Below are 18,050 nucleotides of genomic sequence, written 5' to 3' on the forward strand. Positions count from 1 at the left end.
ATGAAAGAAGTTGTATTCTATTTTGGGGGGTTTCTGAAAATCATAATAATCAGGTTATGATTAATTGAGGGAAGACAGCAATTCATAGATAGATATTGGTGCCTTCTCTGACTGCTTTGCAGTAAAGTCCTTAGCTTCTTTATAAGGTTTTAAAATTCTAATTTTGTGTGTGTGTATAGGCCTACCTTGCAAAGAAGAGCACACAAGCAATAATAAAATAAGAATGAATAAGGTTATTAAGTGCAAAGAAGATAATGAGAGAGGGAGCCAAAGAAGGTCTGGGTTTCCTTGGCATGTGTGTGTAGGATACAGGCAATTGTAAATCTGTATCAAAAATCAAGCACAGCAGGAGGTGTTCGTCTCCCAGGTAATGGGTAAATGATGAGCAGATGAGCCATCCTTCTATTGATTTAAGCATTTTGTTTCAGCCAGTCACAATTAACTTTGATTTGTTTTTACTTTCCTCTTAAAGGTTTGCATTTAAAACACTCTTGGAGCACTAATTGTATAAAATTCTGGTAACTGCACATTCTCGTTTTAGAGAGGTAATGAGTGAATGAATGAAAAGGCAGGGATTATTTGCTATTCTGAGTGAGGATTGTCAGAGCATTTCTACTTGACTGAAATTGTTTTGGAAGGTGAGCTGGAACAGGAATCTTGCAACTAAAATGATGTGACTCTCCATGTGGTTTTTGGATGTTTCTTTATCAAAGAATTTTGCGGTATGGTTCTGGGACTTACAAGTTGATTAATAACTTTATTTATTTATGAGAGAATATTTAAGTGAATAATATGAAAACATTTTAAGGTATGCTTACTTGACTGAAGTAAATGAGAGTCTCTTGAAAGTTCATTTGAAAGGATTTGAAATGGGATTTTCCTCTTACCATCACAATATTTTTTCAAGATACAAATGGCCATGTTGTGACAAAATACATTATTGAAATGCTTTGAAAAGTTTTTAAAAACATGCCTAAGAAAACAATATGTAGACCATTACAGTTAATTCAGATATCAATTTATTAATATTGCTGCTACTGGAAAGTCCTAAAACGTACGGGACATCATTCCAAAACACTTGGGGTCTGTTTTAATAAGCAGCTCTTTCTCTGTTCTTGTTTGGAAGGGGCACTAGGGTTGCCAGATTTAGTAAACAAAAATAAAGATTGCCCGGTTAAATCTGAATGTCTAATAACTAATGAATTTTTTTAGGATAAGAATGTCCCATGCAATGTTTGTATTTTATCTGGCAACCTTAGGTAGTACTTTGGTTGGATAGAAATTACAGCCATGCATTGAATATGTGACTGAATACTGAGAAATTATTATTTTAAAATGATTTTACCTTTTACTGTCAGACCAGATAGGCCAACCAGCTTGCCCCCTTCAAATAGAAACCAAAAGCTTTTTAGCTCCTTAATGCTGAGTTTAATTTCCCGTATCATGTTCCTAGGGTAAGTTGTGACTTGTCATTTTCAGTATACTGTGACATCAGCCTGACTAATATAGAGACATTAGAGAAGATGGAAGAGTGTAGCTTACATCGATCAGGCTTTGACTAGAATGTTCGGTGATTATAGGTGTAGAGAATTGAATGATGCAATGATATATTATGTTAGTGAAGCCACATCTTTTTTGTGGCAGTATTTTGACTATATAGGTAGCCAAGTTTAAAATCCTTGTGATTCTAACCCTGGTAAGAACTTCTGGGAGGGGAAAGATTCTATGTCCTTGCACTTTTATTTTGTTTCATTTAACTTTGGTTACAATAATCTAGTGGCTAGATTAATAATAATCTAGAAACTAAGCCAAAGCTTCCAGAAAACCAAATATCTGATTTATCTTTGGGGCCAGCATTCACTTTTGCTAGTAGCATTTTTCACTTTCTGATGCTTTCCATGGCTTATCAGGAGGCCTATTTGTAGAAGAGAAGTTTGGAGCCCCATGCCCCCTACTGATTTCACTATAGCTTTAGAGGACAGTTCCTAGGAAACCTAGGCTGGGCCTGGGTGGTCCCACCTCTAGAACACTTTGTGAATCATCCCAATTTCTGCCTCAGAGCCTTCTCCCAGGCTGCAGAAGCCTGCTTCATGATTCCTCCCTCAGGCCTAGCATGGAAATATAGGGGGAATTAACACCTGCCAGGGCAATCTTTGTGATAAGTATTCCCGCCAACGATTTTTTGAACAGGCAATTCTGAAAAGCACTAGGCATTCTCAGAGGTCCTATTTTCAACAGCAGGAATCTTAGGTACCCTTTAGGAACATTATTTGGCTTTTCCTCCAGCCCTTCCTTATTCCCGCTATTCCCGCCCTCTCATTTCTAGGGAAAACTAACATGCATCTTATTCCTTGTTTCAGGCTCTGCTTTTAGTGGAACCCTAGCTAAGATACTCCTGATGCTCTTTTCTCCCCAGCACCACGGTTCTCTCCTTGCTCTAGATCTAGATATTTTGCTTCCTGTGGTTCCATCAAGATTTACATTTTTTTCCCTTATCAGTGGAAGAGAGTTCTGCCACTGTATCTACTGGTACTTCTAAGTCATATTGGTTACCAAATGCATCATGCACATTTTCCTCACCCAAACTCTCCTCTTTATAATGAAAACAATTATTGAATGCCCACTACATGTGAGAATATATGCTAAAGGTTCCATGCAGATTGTTTCATTTTATCCTCATGACGTCACCAAAAAAATAAGTATTTCTACCTTACAGATGAAAAAACTGAGGTTCAGGGTGATTAAGGGATTTTTACCAATATCACAAAGCTAGTAAGTGGCAGAAGCAGCATTGCATTCTGACATATCTGACACCAAAGACCATTGTTTTAACCATGACATCATAAATTCCACCATATAAAGATGTTAGAAATGAGTTTCTTTGTCAAATACTAATATGCATGGCTAAAGAGATAATTGAGTAGAAGGCTGGGATGAGAGAGCTTGTATCAAATACAGCAAACTTTTTTTGTTTTTTAAAAAAAGGTCTTCATATCTGCTTATAATTGAACACAAGTTCTGAAGTATTGGTTCCATCATGAGACCTGGAACTCCATAAACCTATGTCTGTTCTGGTTCACAGTGCCTTATACATGGTAGGACTTAATAAATATGCACTGAATGAACTAATTGGAGTATCACAGAATATAGCTTAAAATGACCTCAGTGAGCTCAAAGTTTCAGTGATTCACTTTATTAAACAATTGACTGTAACCTCTTTCAAGATGATCTGTTACTTGGAAATTTAAAATCCCAGTAGTGTCTTATGTAATGTAAGACAAAGTGTTTAGAACAATGTTATAATGTGGCTCTCAATTAAATATGTTAACTTCAGCTAATTTAAAACTATTGGGAGCAAAGGGAGGCAGAAAGATTCCATCTGATGTTACAATAGGCACATACTTAGAGAGGTCTGGGAGTGCTGGGTGCAGAGGTCAAATGTAGTAAACGTGAACTTCTGTGGAGACAGGGAGAGGCTACCCAGTAGTCAAAAGAAGATCTGGTCTCCACGTGGAAAACAGTGGCAGAGTTAGTAACCCTTCTTTATGATTTAGCTTGGCAAAGTGAGGACCCATGACAGCTCTTTCTGTCTGATTCTCCCTATTTTGACAAAATTAATGTATTTCATAAATATTAAAATTCTGAAGTCCTTAGGAACTGACTGCAGCTACATTTTTAGATCAATTCTCTAAATCTAGCATATTTATCTAATTGCATCCCTTGAAGTAGAGTCAGAGGTTCACCATGCAAATCTTCCCTGACATTTTATTGATAGAACCACTATTCTCTTCAAACTGCCATGATGTTAGAGGTCTGACTCTATGACATCTTCTGAAACTTTCATGAGGTTGTTAGTTTTGAACAATAAAGAAAGATGAGCATATGCAATTTCTACTTGTGCTTTGTGGGTTACTCTTGGGTTTCATAGGCAACTTTAGTAACTAGTTAGCCCCTTAAGAGTGAAAGCAGAAACTGTAGCAGCCCTATGTAATTGTCACTAGAAGAATTGACACCACCAGTGAAAAATAAGAAAGTCAGATGTAACTTGATCTTTTCAGGGTCACCAATAGGAGCTAGGTAACAAACAAAAGTAGGTTTTGTTTGTTGCATTACAAGATAGTAAACGAGAGCTCTGATGGTCTGCAATTCAACATGCTGGATGGGAAAATACTTTTAGGCAGATTCGATATGAACTAAAAAAATCTTAACATGTCTGTAATGCTAAAATTCTACTCAGAGGATTTTTTTTAGTTGGTTGTGCAAGTGAACCAAATTTGTCTTCGCCTACAGATGAAATTATTTTGATTAGCTGAATCCTAATGAATAATTTAAAATGTAAACAATAGAAAATAATACAATTGTTATATGTTTATTTATATAGCAGCTACTATGTATGGATCTTAATTAGGATTAGGATTTATAAATTAGTGCAGCTGAGATGAGAATGAATATAAATTACACAACTGATCCTGCTGGAAAAATTAAGATTCACATATACCTTTACATATCTAATGCTAACAGTGGGAACAGACTCCATTCAGAATGTTTCTCTGATCAAACTTAGAAAAGTCTAGGGCATTTTCTCTCAAAATGCCTGAAATCATATCTAATAGTCAATGCCTTGGTCTGTGTATAAGCTTAAATTACATAAAAATAATAAAATTTATAATCTTAAATTACATAAAAATTATAACTTTAAATTATATAAAATTATAAAAATTCAATTATCTTAAATTATAAACATGCATATGTGAACTAAGACGTATTCAATATCTTCATTAGGCAGACTTTTGTGGCTTTTAACTTTCACTGACGGAAGCATTCTCTTCTTTGTATTAATGCCAAACACCATTTGAACCAGAATTCTTTTTGGTTTTTGGATCCAAAAAGACAGAGTCTGATGAAGCCACATCCTTTTATAGCTGGGAGAAACATATTTTCTTCTTACACATATATTGTCTGTAACTGTTGGCAGGGTTGGAACTACTATCAGAAGTTAGGAATAGAGGTGTTATAGATCCCCATCAGCCACTATTCTAATACCAATGAGGCCTTGGGATATAGCCTGACATACATGTGAGATAGCCATCCCTTCTCACCTTTAAACCTGAGGCTCAGGAAAATTGCTTCAACCCTGTCAAGTAAGGATGACCTTACTTGAGAATATTGGCTCTTCTATCCATTTAGAAGCATATTGAGGCCAGGTGTGGTGGCACACACCTACTGTAATCCCAGCAGTTTGGGAGGCTGAGGTGGGAGGATGGCTTGAGCTCCTGAGGTTGAAGCTTCAATGAGCCCTGATTGTGCCACTGCACTCCAACCTGGGTGACTCAAAACAAACAAACAAACAAACAAACAAACAAACAAACAGAGCATATGGAGAATAGTGGACTCTTTCATGATCTTCAATCTTTATAAACGACTTTTTGTTGCCCTTTTGACTACTTTGCAAGTCAAGATTGACTTTGATGTAGAAAAGTATCCAGCTCTTCCTCATTTGAATGATAAGTGGCATAGTCCTACACATCAATAGGTTCCATTAATTATTTCACAATTTCTGTTATAATTGTCTCTTTCTTTTCAGTTCCACTAACACCACCCATCCTAATTTATTTTTACTGTATAACTGGATGATTTAAATGGTTTTCTGACTGAACTCTCTGCTTCCACTTCCTTTCACTTGCACGGTTAGTTGGATCTTTCTAAACATAAGTTTTGGTTCATCACACCTCTGCTCGAAACTGTCAAAGACTTGCCTTTCCTGAAAGGTATCATTGAAACTTTCTTACTTAGCTCATCAGCTTTCAAAATCTACTCCCAATCTCAGAATGGTAGGAGCATGCATGGTACATTCATAAAAATTATAACATCCATTAAATATAATGATTCTGGCACAGCCATTTATTCAACAAGTATTTATCAAGTTTCTACTGTGCACCTGCCACTGTGCTAGGTGTTCAGAATACCAAGGCTCCTGTCCACAGAGCTTTGAGTCTAGAGAAGGAAATAGTAAAGAAACAATCATATTAATGAATGTGCACTTAAAACAAAAGGAGATAGCAGGTCTGAGAGAAAGGCCTATTGTTCCATAAAAGCGCATAGCAAAGGATTCAGACTTTTGTTTTTTTTGAAACGGAATCTCGCTTTGTTGCCAGGCTGGAGTGCAGTGGCGCGATTTCGGCTCACTGCAACCTCCGCCTCCCAGGTTCAAGTGATTCCCCTGATTCAGCCTCCCGAGTAGCTGGGACTACAGGCGCGTGCCACCACGCCTGGGTAATTTTCTTTTTTTTGTATTTTAGTAGAGATGGGGTTTCACCATGTTGGCCAGGATGATCTCGATCTCCTGACCTCGTGATCTGCCTGCCTCGGCCTCCCAAAGTGCTGGGATTATAGGCGTGAGCCACCGTGCCCGGCCAACACCTCTGAGAAGGTGATTCTTCAAATGGAATTTGAAGGATGAATTGAAGTCACCTAAGCAAAAGGTGGGGAGATGGATAGATGAAGAACATTATCAGACAGACGAAACAGCATGGGCAAACATCTTGTGCAGGACAGAGCAGATAAATTTAGGCTATTTAAAAGGAACCTGTGTGGTTGAAGAAGACAAAGAGCAAGAGGAAGAGTCAAGTCAGACGATGCTAGAGAGGCAGGGAGGGTCCATATTAGCATGCAGGGTCCTGTGTGCTATCCTGTGGATTTTGGTTGTTGGCATAGACCAGTGGTTTTCAACTGGGGGTAATTATGTCCCCCAGGGGACATTTGGCACTGTCTGGAGACATTTTTGATTGTCACAACTGGTGAGGGTCCTATTGGCATCTAGTAGGTAGAGGCTAGTGGTGCTGCTAAACATCCTACAATACACAGGTCAGCTCTCCATAACACATAATTATTTGGTCCATGCCAGGCCCAGTGGCTCGTGCCTGTATTCCCAGAACTTTGGGGTGCTGAGGTGAGAGAATTGCTTGAGGCCAGGAGTTCGAGACCAGCCTGCACAACATGGTGAAATCCTGTCTTTACCAAGAATACAAAAATTAGCCCAGTATGGTGGTGCGCGCCTGTGTTCCCAGCTACTCGGAAGGCCCAGGTGGGAGGATCGCTTTAGCCTGGGAGGCGAAGGTTGCAGTGAGCCGAGATTTTGCCACTGCACTTCAGCCTGGGTGACAGCAAAACCCTGTCTCAAAAAAAAAAAAAAAAAAAAAGAGGAAGAAGAATTATCTGGTCCAAAATGTCACTAGTGCTCAGGTTCGAGAAATTCTGTTATAGACAAATAAAATGTTTTAAGAAGGTGAGAGGGAATGACATAACCAGAGTTGCATTTGAATAGCTCATTTTGGCTGTAATGCAGAAAGTCATCTGGAGAGGTGGTCAGAAGTGAGTTAGTATGGTTTTCGAACAGAGGAGGTGAGAGATGATGGTGGCTTGGACTATTTTGATGGCAAAAAGATGATCTGTTTTTATTGCCAGGGAAAGTAATTCACAATGCATTCTTAGGGAGCAAAAGTCAGATCAAAAGATGCTTTGCATAGCATGACCTCATCTTTGTGATAAAATATTTATGTGTGCATATTTGCACAGGTAAAACTCTGAAAAGCTAGATACTAACATGGTATCATGAGAAGCAAGATTTTAGGTTATATATCTATTTATCTATCTACTTACTTTTTGCTTATCTTTATAATTTTTTCTATAATAAACATGCCACTTTTTAAGATAAAAAATTAAGTAAAAATTTCTGACCCCAATCTACCTCTTCAAAAAAAATTATAGATCAATTCTACAGACAACTGTGATGCTATATACACTTACCATATTTTCCTTCTAACATTTTCGTAATAAATATGACAGACTATAAAAATAGAAACCAGGGAAAGGCTTAAAAAGGAAATCAAGTTTCAAAAGCATGATATGCAGTTGTATTAACTGGTATTTACCCTTTTACTTTGATAGAGGAGTGTGATCTTTTTGTATACCTGCTGATCAGGTAAAATTATCGTTTCTCCAGAGTGACTATTCTTATTCTTGCAATGGTATAATGCCTAACCCCCAAAGTGAAGGGTCTGCTCATTTTTTTCCATAAGATAAATTGGTGTTAGTTATTATAGACTTGACACAAAATCTGCTTGTTAAATAAATGCTGTAATCCTGTACTTCTTGTTTCTAGATATATCTAACTACCTGTTTGATCTTGGCAAATCACTTAATCTCCACAGTTTCTTCATCTGTTTTGGTTCAGAAAGCATACCTTATGATTCTCTAGCTTTAATTTTTAAATATTTGGATGGTAAACAATGTCATAGCAATGATGTAGTTGAATAGCCAGTATGTTAATACTGTAAGGTAGAGCAATATAATTGAGGCAGAAAGTCCCTTTATTTAAGCTCTTCCTTGGTCAACAGCATCTTTACAAGTTACATAATCTCTGCTTGTCAGCAGGGACCCAGTTGTATTATCACATTATTAACTCATTCACTAATAGCCTAATGACCTTAAAGAGGAGACAGACACCTTACATCCAGGCAACATCTTAGGTGCTGGGAGAATCTAGATGATTAACTTTTTTTTATTATTCACTTATCCTTTTAGTGTAATATTCTCCCAACATGATTATTATAATACTGGATATAGTACTTAGAAAATGTGATTAGTGACATAAAATTAGTCCACTATAATCATTACAAAATATTCAAACAGAATGTTCTGAAGCAAGCTTCTGAAAGCAATTTCTGCACTCTTGTTATGTGAACTTGAATATTACCTTTCAGACCTTCTTTCTCTAACATTTAAAATAAGAGAATTGAAACAAATGATCTCTAATTTTTTCCAGCTCTATATTCTATGTATTTATAAAATGATGATTAACAACGTAACTATGTAAGAAGTGCTATAACTGGAAAGCTATATGTTCATTTTTTGACTATTTCAAAGTTTAATACGTTTAAGTAGAGTACTAATATTTTTTGTGAAACTCTAAAACTAAATGAAGGCTTTGACTAAAACTTATTTTTTGATGTATAGGCAAAAAATAATTAAGGATTTCTGAAATGTTTTGGCCTTATTCATATGTGTCAAAAATCCAGTAATAAAAATCAAGACTTGCTTTCTTTGGAGAAGTTTACACAGGCTTTTGTTAGTACCAGGATGATAACAAGGTGTTAGGATCATAGAATGGGGAACCACAGATTGATGTTTGGTACTCTGCCAGAAAACGAAGGGTAGCAAGAACATGCTGATTTATGCATATTGTCAGGATTTTGTTATCCAGTCTCAGGCTGTTTGATCATTTGCCTGGATTCATATTCTATTTTTAATTCTTAACCTCAGACCAGTTCTTAGAATAAAAATATTATTCACTAAAGTCAGCTGTGGAATTCAGTAGGTCATGAATACAGATGGTAAGAAAGGTAAAACTTCAGGAAAAATTAGTTTGTTTGATCAATAGTAAGAAAATAATTAATTTTAATGTTACTATGTTATATCTTATTTGGAACACTTAAAAATATTCACCAAGTATGAAAATGTGTTCAGAATATGTTAAATACTGCACAAATCAAACTATTAATTTTCATATTTCACATCCATACCTTTATTATTTTTTTGATCTGTGTATCTTTGAAGTGGATCACTTTAGTCAATATTTCACATCTGAAGTGGCAAATTAATATTACTGATGTGGCAATAAATTAAGACTTGATGATTCTGATATCTTCTGTTAAGGAAGCAAAGTTTACAAACAATGTTATTAATTATGTTCTTTGGCACTTAAATGTTTTTGATTATCTTATAAATACATATCCTATATATATTGTGCCTTTCCATGTTATCTTAATTCATATTTATAACTATGAAATATTTATCACTATAATGTATCAACAATAAGCCAATAAATAGAATTAATCTAACTTGAAGTGTTTGCATTTTCCAGAGTTTCCAACACCTAAGAGTGGTATTTGGCAAATGGTGGGCCAAAGGAATAAAGAAGGCATGCAAAACTCTTGACAGAAGACATTCAGAAATTGATTTGATATCAGATACAAGGAGAAAATATGCCAGTAAGAAAATGCATTTTTCAAGATTAAATTCGGCATTTGTTACTTAATAGCATTTGTCATATTCCAATTTTTCATATGTAGTAAATTCATTTCAAATCATTTCGCTCTTCCAAGTGCCTTTGTGTATTGTATTTCTTTTTTCACATCCTTTTGGATAACATTTGAGAAAAAAATAAGACTACAACAGTCAATGATTACATTCAGGATGGAAGACGGTTGTAAGACGAAGGAACAGGTGGAGTATGTACGATGGGAATATTCACTTTTTGTGCCACCATTTTGTAGCTCCTCAAAAAAAAAAATTAGCAAATGGTGGATATTGTTTCTTTACAAAAAATGGTTCTGTACTGGATCCATCTGTGAAGTATAAACATGTCATCAGCACTCATTTTCCATCTCCAAAAAACATTCCTCATGTCCATATTTGATTTTCAAGTGCATCTGTGCACGGATGGAAACCCTCCCAACATGCTGCTACACAATTGCAGAACCCACACATTTCTGTCTTTGAATCAAGCTTTCATGAGAGCCTGGCCTCCCCTGGGTAGAAGCTTGTTTCGAGGTTGCAAAGGTCCTCTGGGTGACCCCAATAAAAAGAACTTCAATGCCCATGGTAAGGTTAAGTTATTCCTTTTAGGGAGGTGATATTGTCCATAAAGTTTTTCTACTTCATTCAGAAAATTATGTGTGTGTGTCTTAGAATTTTTCTTTTATTCCCCATGCTACACTTAACTAATTATTATTACTTGTACTGTTAAGTTTCTCAATGACTAGACTCACATTTGAGAAACAAAGTGAAGATCTCGATATTAGGTTATTCAGAAAATTTAAGTAGAAAAAGCAGGGAGTTCATCTCAGAAAGTTGAAAGGGAAGCATCTTGAATTCTAGGAGTTCCTAACATTATTGATAATCACATAGCCTGAAAGAATGTAAAACATTGCTAAAAACAATTTTCATCACTTAGTAAACACACATTCAGAAATGAACTCCGTGGTAAAGGAGGAAATTTCATTTTACCTCATTATTTTCCCTCCACAGTGCCAGAGTTACCTTCACTATAGGGCAAGGAGTAAGCTTTGCCTGTCATTTTTAATCAGGTTGTTGTAGGTAATTTTTGTTATGCCCCTCATTACTGAATTGTTTATCAATAGGTGCAGCAAGTGTCACTAGCTTTTCTCATCAAACCAGGTCTGACAAAGCAGCACAGTGCATGGGAAAGAGGCAGCTAGGTGAAACTAATGCCATAGATGTTTGATTCATTAGGAGCTTATTGTTAACGGGGATGTCTGATTGTAAAGGCTCAGTCAAGCAAAAGAGTGCAGAGTAATCAGTCGGATTTATAGTTTGCAGGGCTCAGAAAAAAAATCAACATAAACCTTTGGATATAGCAGAAACAGAAAAATCCCCTTTGGGCAGCCCTAACCTGGAACCAGCCAAATAAGGTCATGCTACATGAAGGTTTCCTGTTAGGTGATGGGAGATAGGGACGGATTAGAGCCATATGGCATGGCCTATCTTACCTTCTGACTTAAGATAACAAAGCCAAGCTTTGTGCTTAGCTGTTTTTGACTGACATCATCAATTTTATTTTATGTTGGTCACCTCCGGTAACAGGAAAAAATGGCCTAGGGTTGATAACACATGCTTTTTTTTTCTTTTAGTATTAAGATGCCTAGAAGCTAGTTTTGTGCTGTTAAAAATTTCAAAGAATTAGTAGCTTCCTCTTCTATCACCCATCCTCCAGCAACTGTCAGCCCCCCTCCCCCTTGTTTTCAGTTTGTACCTTGCAAATGAGAGGCAGCCTTATTCAGAACCAGATGTAAGGCTCCTAGAGAATGAGCATAAGCTGGTGTACTTTAAGCCTAATGGGAAGTTTTATATGCAAGGGCCTTGAACTGATTAGTATAATTCCCTCTTTAATACAGCTGTCCCTCCAGATTAAGGTAAACCAAATGTTGCAATCAGAGATTAGTGTACCTTGCCAGTTATTAACATCCCCGGGTGCTCAGCAAGCACGTCAGACGCTAATGCTGTGTATTTATTTGCTACTTCCCCACTGTAACTTGAACTTCTGCACCTGTCAAAGCATTCCAGTGAAGAGAGGGGCATTATTGGAAAGCAAAAGTTTTATACCTGTACACCTGTTTTGTTTTGTCACAGCTAAGACTTTCTTTTGGCGTGCCAAGACTGCCAGGTGCTTTAATCTGCTACTTTTCTGGTTTTGTAAAGAAAGACTTTGTGTGCTAAATTGCATTTGTTACTTTCACATGCTTCCTTTTATGCAACTAGAGAGCTGCTCACCTAAACTTTGTGTGTGTGTGTGTGTGTGTGTGTGTGTGTGTGTGTGTGTGTGTGTATGTGTTTTCTTTTACAGAGGAGGTATCTGTAGAGGGTGAGGTTTCTTTGCCAGAAAACGCCTCACCTCTGTCTCTTGTGTTCCTCAGCCTCGGCTGAGTCTTAATCACAAGGTGGGTCTCACAGCTGTAATATATTTGGCAGGATATCCTGCCTTCTTGCAACCCAGATGTCAAGAAAGACAAAGTCCTGGCTATCTTAGAAAGATCTGGCTGCGTTTCTTTCCCTCTGCAGCCCCAACAGAGGCTTGGAATGTAGGCCTGAATCTATGCAACAAGCACACTGGAGAAGTTAGGAATGGCAGTTTGGGTTGTCTTTAGGCACGTCACGTTGGTCCAGGCTCTGCACTCCCTGAGTCCTTCTCATCAGTGTGGCACATGTGCCAACCACTAAGGAAAATAATGGGAAGTTTGAGGACTAGCCCTCACATTTGTAGAATAAAGTGCCTTTGTGATTTTTATCAACATCTTTTATTACTCAGAGATTGAGGATCAAAAGGTGCTTTCTGTGAAAAATGCCTAGTTTGGTAAGTAACCACCAGGGTCACTTCAGGGGCTGATTTTATTTCGCTTTTTAAATATGCAGGTTTAAAGCAGGTAGCTATGCTCTTACAGAGGTTTCACCTGATGCCAGCAGCAGTGGGGCAACACCAGACCCCCGCTCCCTCATTTCGTCACGAACAGGAAAGAGCCACAATTTTCTAGCTGACCTGTGACTCTGCAAGCAGCCACTGGTTCAGGTTGTTATCAATGCTGGGGGAACATTTCTTTTGTTTGCCCTCCTTACCCCAATTCCATCTTGGTATTTGCACATTGATTGCCTGGTGCAGAGTTTCTACATATTATAGCTTAATTGCAGATTTTTAAAAAAGACAAAAATATGTTCATATCTTAGGAATTATGTCTTGCAGCCTACTAAATATGCTAATGCAGCACTAAGCAGGGATAAAGTTCTTGCCATACCCCCCAACAGTTGCGTGGAACCTGCTGCCAAGTGATTGTTAATTGTGAAGCACAAGCAGGCTTTGCAATCCATCTTAATTGTCATACTTACTTCAGGTTTCGTGATAAGGCTCAATGTTCTGTTTAAAGTGACAATGTTGACAAGGGGAAAGGGTGTGGGCCTGAGCCTGTGGTTCTGAAGGGGTTGCGTGCTCTGACCTGCCGAAGGTTGATATGGACGGTCTGCGAGGGGATTTTAGTTGTCATGGGGTCCCCAGGCGGTTGAATGGAGAGACTGTCTGTCCTGCTTTTTCCTGTTAGGATCCTGACACGTGGAGCATTGATGAACTCAGCACAACGTTGAATGGGAGCTTTTTGGCAGCTGAGACACTGGGGCTAAGCTGCAGGTCAGAGATAACACCAGTGCGGATCTCCTCCTGCACAGAGCTCCTAGCATGCTTTCTTCCCTCCTGAGTGCAGGAAATGGCTCATGTTAAATATGTTCACTTTTCAGTTTTCCTTTCTTCTAAAAAGGAGCTTGACAGATTGGACTTTTCAGCTCCCTCTTTTTTCACCACCTCTGCTTTCTACCTCAGAAATACTCTTCAGGAAGCAGGAGTTAATCTTGGTGAGGAAACGATAAGGTGATGCTTGATTTTCACGGCAAAGCAGAAGGATATGGCTGCCTTCTTGCTGTTCATAAACTTAGAGCTCCCCACCTGTGAGGCTTTCCTTAGCTTTTCCCTTCACATCCCTTCAAAATAGGCCAGAAGAGTAAGAGAGTCAAGCGTCTACTGCCCAGACGAATGTAGGAGAGCAACATGTAGCATTATGCAATCTTGAGAAAAGGAATCACCGAGTTGGGAGGTAATGCTGACTTTTAAACAGTGTTTTCTCCAATACTTATGTGGCCCTCTACCCAAAGGGTGCATCACTGCCCACACCAAAATGCTTCTGCTTTGTTTTACGTGCAGCTGAGTTTAGCAGGTTTCCGAGATGTGGAGAACAAAGAGAAACTGCCAGCAAAGAGCTACTCTAATAATCTTTTGCCAACATCCTGTATTCACAAAAGCGATGCAGAAAGAATTCTTTCTAGTTTTAGTGTCTGCCCTAAACATGGGCTGTCAAAGCTCCATTTAAAAGAAAGGTATTTGAAATGGATTCTTGTGTGGTATTGATTAGTGACTGTGAAACTAATACATTGAAACCACTCCCAAACAAGTCAAATTCTGACTTGAGGTACATACATATGGCTTCGGTGAGATATGAATGTTTTCTTTTCACTCTATTGAGTATATGATACCCATATCCTTTGAAGCAAAAGGGATGTGTGTGAGTATGAGAGTGGGGTGTGTGTGTGTGTGTGCGAATGTGTATGTAGGTAGAGGGGATGAGATAGGGAAAGAGAAATGGAATGAAGAAGAGGGGATGGGAATGTGGAAAGTTTTTGGTCGAGGTTCCATAAGCATCAGAAAATAAAAGCATTGTGGGTAGAGATGAGAGTAACAGGACAGTCCCGGGGCTTACACCTTGGAACAAGTAGGGTAATGCTGCCCTTTGATCTCTGTCACCTCTCACCAATTTCATGCACCCTTTCTGTCTCAGGAGGGTATGCAGCAAAGCTGAGAGAAAGAGAGAATGAGCAAGTGATATGTCAAAGAGCCAAATATGGTGAGTCAACAACCCTGAGGAGAATGATTCAGGCTTGGAACTCCATTAGAATTTGCTCTGATGCAAGATAGTGGTGCCAGACCTTCCATAATAAAAATATAATTTTTCAGTTCTCCCCATCCAATTGTACCATGGAGTCTTCATCCTCTTTGAGTGATCAGGACTAGGTAATTCCTGGTCTTAGTCTAGATACCTCTCTGGTTACTATTAGGGGTGGGCGAGGCGGCAGAGATTTCCAAGGACCTCTGAGTTTGCCCAACTTTAACTTCAGGGAGAATAGCTAGAACTAGATAGCCTAAGGACCTCAGAGAAATAAAGGATGTAAAATGTTCAGTACAGTAGTCATCACATAGTAAGTGCTCGGTGAATCCTTACTATTCCTTTCTGAAGATTGAAGCCACTTGAATTTCTTGTTGAATACTTCTTTTGGTTGTGTTTGTCAGGTGTAGCACTGCCTGAGAAAAGAGAAAAGTTTGATAGCAGTTCCTATTCTAAATGTAAGATTTAGATTTTTATTATGTGTTTTCTATCTGCTTGGTGCAGACCCAGTGTGAAAGGGCGAAGGCTTGAATTGGCCTGAACCATTCTAATTCTAGATACATGTGGTCACATGTCCTTGTCATGATATCAAAGGGAGATAGCCACCTATGCAATGAGATTTGAAGAGCCTGGAAAACACCGCATGTCCTCCAAGTGTCTTCTTAATTAACCAAGGCATCTGACATTCTTGACATTTCTGTTGGTAAAGCAATTCCTCTAAGTAAAAGTATGATTTCTTGATATTCCTACTTGTGGTACAATCATGATACTTGAAGGTGGCCATCTTTATTATGTAGATGATGTTTATTTCTTGCTTATTACCCCTGTGACAACTCGGAAGAGAGAAACTGAATGTAAATGGTAGCTAAATGGAAGTTTTTAAAAGTATACAGTACAACTTCTTGACCGTGAAATGCATCAAGGAGGTTGCAGAGTTGGGGTTTGCACACTCCCAAATAATTTTGGATATAACAAAATATATAGACATTAGGAAAGCTTCTAGTTAGCTTTGTGGGACAGAGCTTAAATTGAGGTCTCTTGGTTCTTTTCAAAAAGACTTTTCATTTCTGATCACCCTACCCCAGCCTACAAGAGAAACTGCTTTTGCCCATCTTGTCTTGTGGCAATCCAGGGTCCTTCACCTTGAAGACCCTGGGTTAGGGATTCTCAAATATTTTTCTACCCTAGAATATATATGTTCACACATAGGATACTTCCATGGGTATACCTAAATTATGGTACCCTAGGAATTCTATTATAATCTTTATTTTAAACATGTCTCCTTTTAATAACACACCTCTTCCTGAGATTCTGCAATGTCCTCTTGAGAAGGCAAACCCCTTTGTCCTTTTTCATGTTCTCCATCTTCATATCCCACCATGAGAGTTGCTGCCTTAAGCAATACTCTAATTATCTGGGTGTTTTTTCTTTTGTCTTTTGCCTAGCTTTTGTGCCCTTTGCCCTTTCTCTATGAGGCTTACTTCCTGTAACTATGTGTATGTATGTATGTATGTATCTATCTATCTATCTATCTATATTTATAAAAATGAGAAATAAACCCATTCTATGTGTTTTCTATAGTTTTGGGTCCATGGTTGTTTTAAGCAATGAAGATTGTTAAATTATCCACGAGCCTTCTCTTCTTTGGCTTTATAATCTTAATCCTTTAAGTTTTCTTCATATATCATATGATTTTTACCCTTGGCTCTTTTCTTCGTTTAAAAATTGTGTGTATTATTTTCATTCTGACTGTACTAGTCTTACATACATATTGTACTTGGACATAAAGAAAATTATGGTTGAGAATAAACTTACCTATAATTCCACCATCTAGAGTTAGTTATTGTTTGAATTTGGTTGTATTTTTCTATCTCTTGGCTTATTGTTTTATGTATTGAGACTGCATGGGTCACTTTATAATTTTAAAATTATTTTTGCCTCCCATTTAGCATTTCTCCTCTCCAAGTTCTCCCCATTCCTTTCATGTTGATGGGTCCCAAGTGAGACCAATATAATACTTCAGTATCTAAAGCAAGATTTGGCTTGTGTTCTGGGAAGGCTAGCTCACAGCCTCTACATACTATATTTTGATCTTCTTAATATGCATTTTCCTGCTCTGAATCAGTGATTTATTTTTTTGATCTCTGTTAATACTTCTTTTCAAGCTGGAAACAAAGGAAATTATCTAAAAATAACCGAAGACTATTATCCAAGACTTTAAAGGAGCATGAGCCAATAGGTTGACACCTTTGATCCTTAGGTAAAAAGTTAAAGTTCTTTTGTTGGCTTTCTGCAAAAGGAGGAAGTAGGGGCAAATTACACAGTTGATGCTATTTTATACATGAAGGAACCAACTTTTGACAGCTGGTAAACAAGTTTCAACTTTTTTTGGGTAAGGTAGTTTATTCATTGAACACTTATTTATTGAGCTAACCCCTACTATGTGGCAGGCGCTGTTCTAGGCCTGGGGATTCAGTAGTAAACAAAATACTCTAAAATCTACCTTTGTGGGAGCTTACTATTTAAGAATAAAGTAGTTAAACTTTTTAACTTTCTACTTAAATTTCCATTTTAAAAACTAATTGTACTTTATTTTCTAAATTCTGAATCGGTTTTGAAGTATGTGGGGAAAGATCCCTATTATTGTAATGTTACTTTGGTATCAAATAATGTCTTTATTCTCAGTGACCTCTCTCCCTCATTACTCTCCAAATTGCAGCTTTTGGTAGATAAAAAGGCAAACAAATGCAATGGCCAAGACCAATTTTGATGAATTAAAAATAAATGTCTTCAATTTTAATATACTTTTTTTTAGGAGGAGGAAAAAGAAACAAGGGTAGTAAGAGTGGATATATTCTTATAACTATGTTGAAGAGCAAATACCAGATGCAAAATTGGGAGAGATCCTTTAGTTTCAAATAGAGCTAAACAGTTTTTTTTTTTTTTTTTTTTTTGAGGTTATGGGCTTTGCCACTTAGCTAATTTGAACAGTAA

At 37.6% G+C, this 18,050-nt stretch overlaps 1 long non-coding RNA gene across 1 annotated transcript in view, besides 2 other annotated features; it reads left to right on the forward strand.

Moving 5' to 3' along the window:
- LINC01412 (long intergenic non-protein coding RNA 1412) overlaps positions 1–10,148 on the forward strand; it is a 57,567-nt gene extending 47,419 nt beyond the window's left edge. The window contains exon 3 of the long non-coding RNA NR_110570.1: positions 9,923–10,148. This is a non-coding gene — a long non-coding RNA (long intergenic non-protein coding RNA 1412). The remainder of the gene's footprint in view (positions 1–9,922) is intronic.
- Positions 12,749–14,677: an enhancer, noted in NCBI's record as "VISTA enhancer hs1802". NCBI's record gives its function as "enhancer in: midbrain (mesencephalon)[8/8]" and the evidence as "EXISTENCE:transgenic organism evidence [ECO:0001131][PMID:17130149]".
- Positions 13,301–13,964: a transcriptional cis regulatory region, noted in NCBI's record as "candidate enhancer chr2.4993 targeted for multiplex CRISPR interference". NCBI's record gives its function as "positively regulates ZEB2 gene expression with high confidence in K562 cells {active_cell/tissue: K562}" and the evidence as "EXISTENCE:mutant phenotype evidence [ECO:0000015][PMID:30612741]".

The sequence above is a fragment of the Homo sapiens genome, chromosome 2 (genome assembly GCF_000001405.40).
Source record: "Homo sapiens chromosome 2, GRCh38.p14 Primary Assembly".
Classification (NCBI taxonomy): Eukaryota; Metazoa; Chordata; class Mammalia; order Primates; family Hominidae; genus Homo; species Homo sapiens.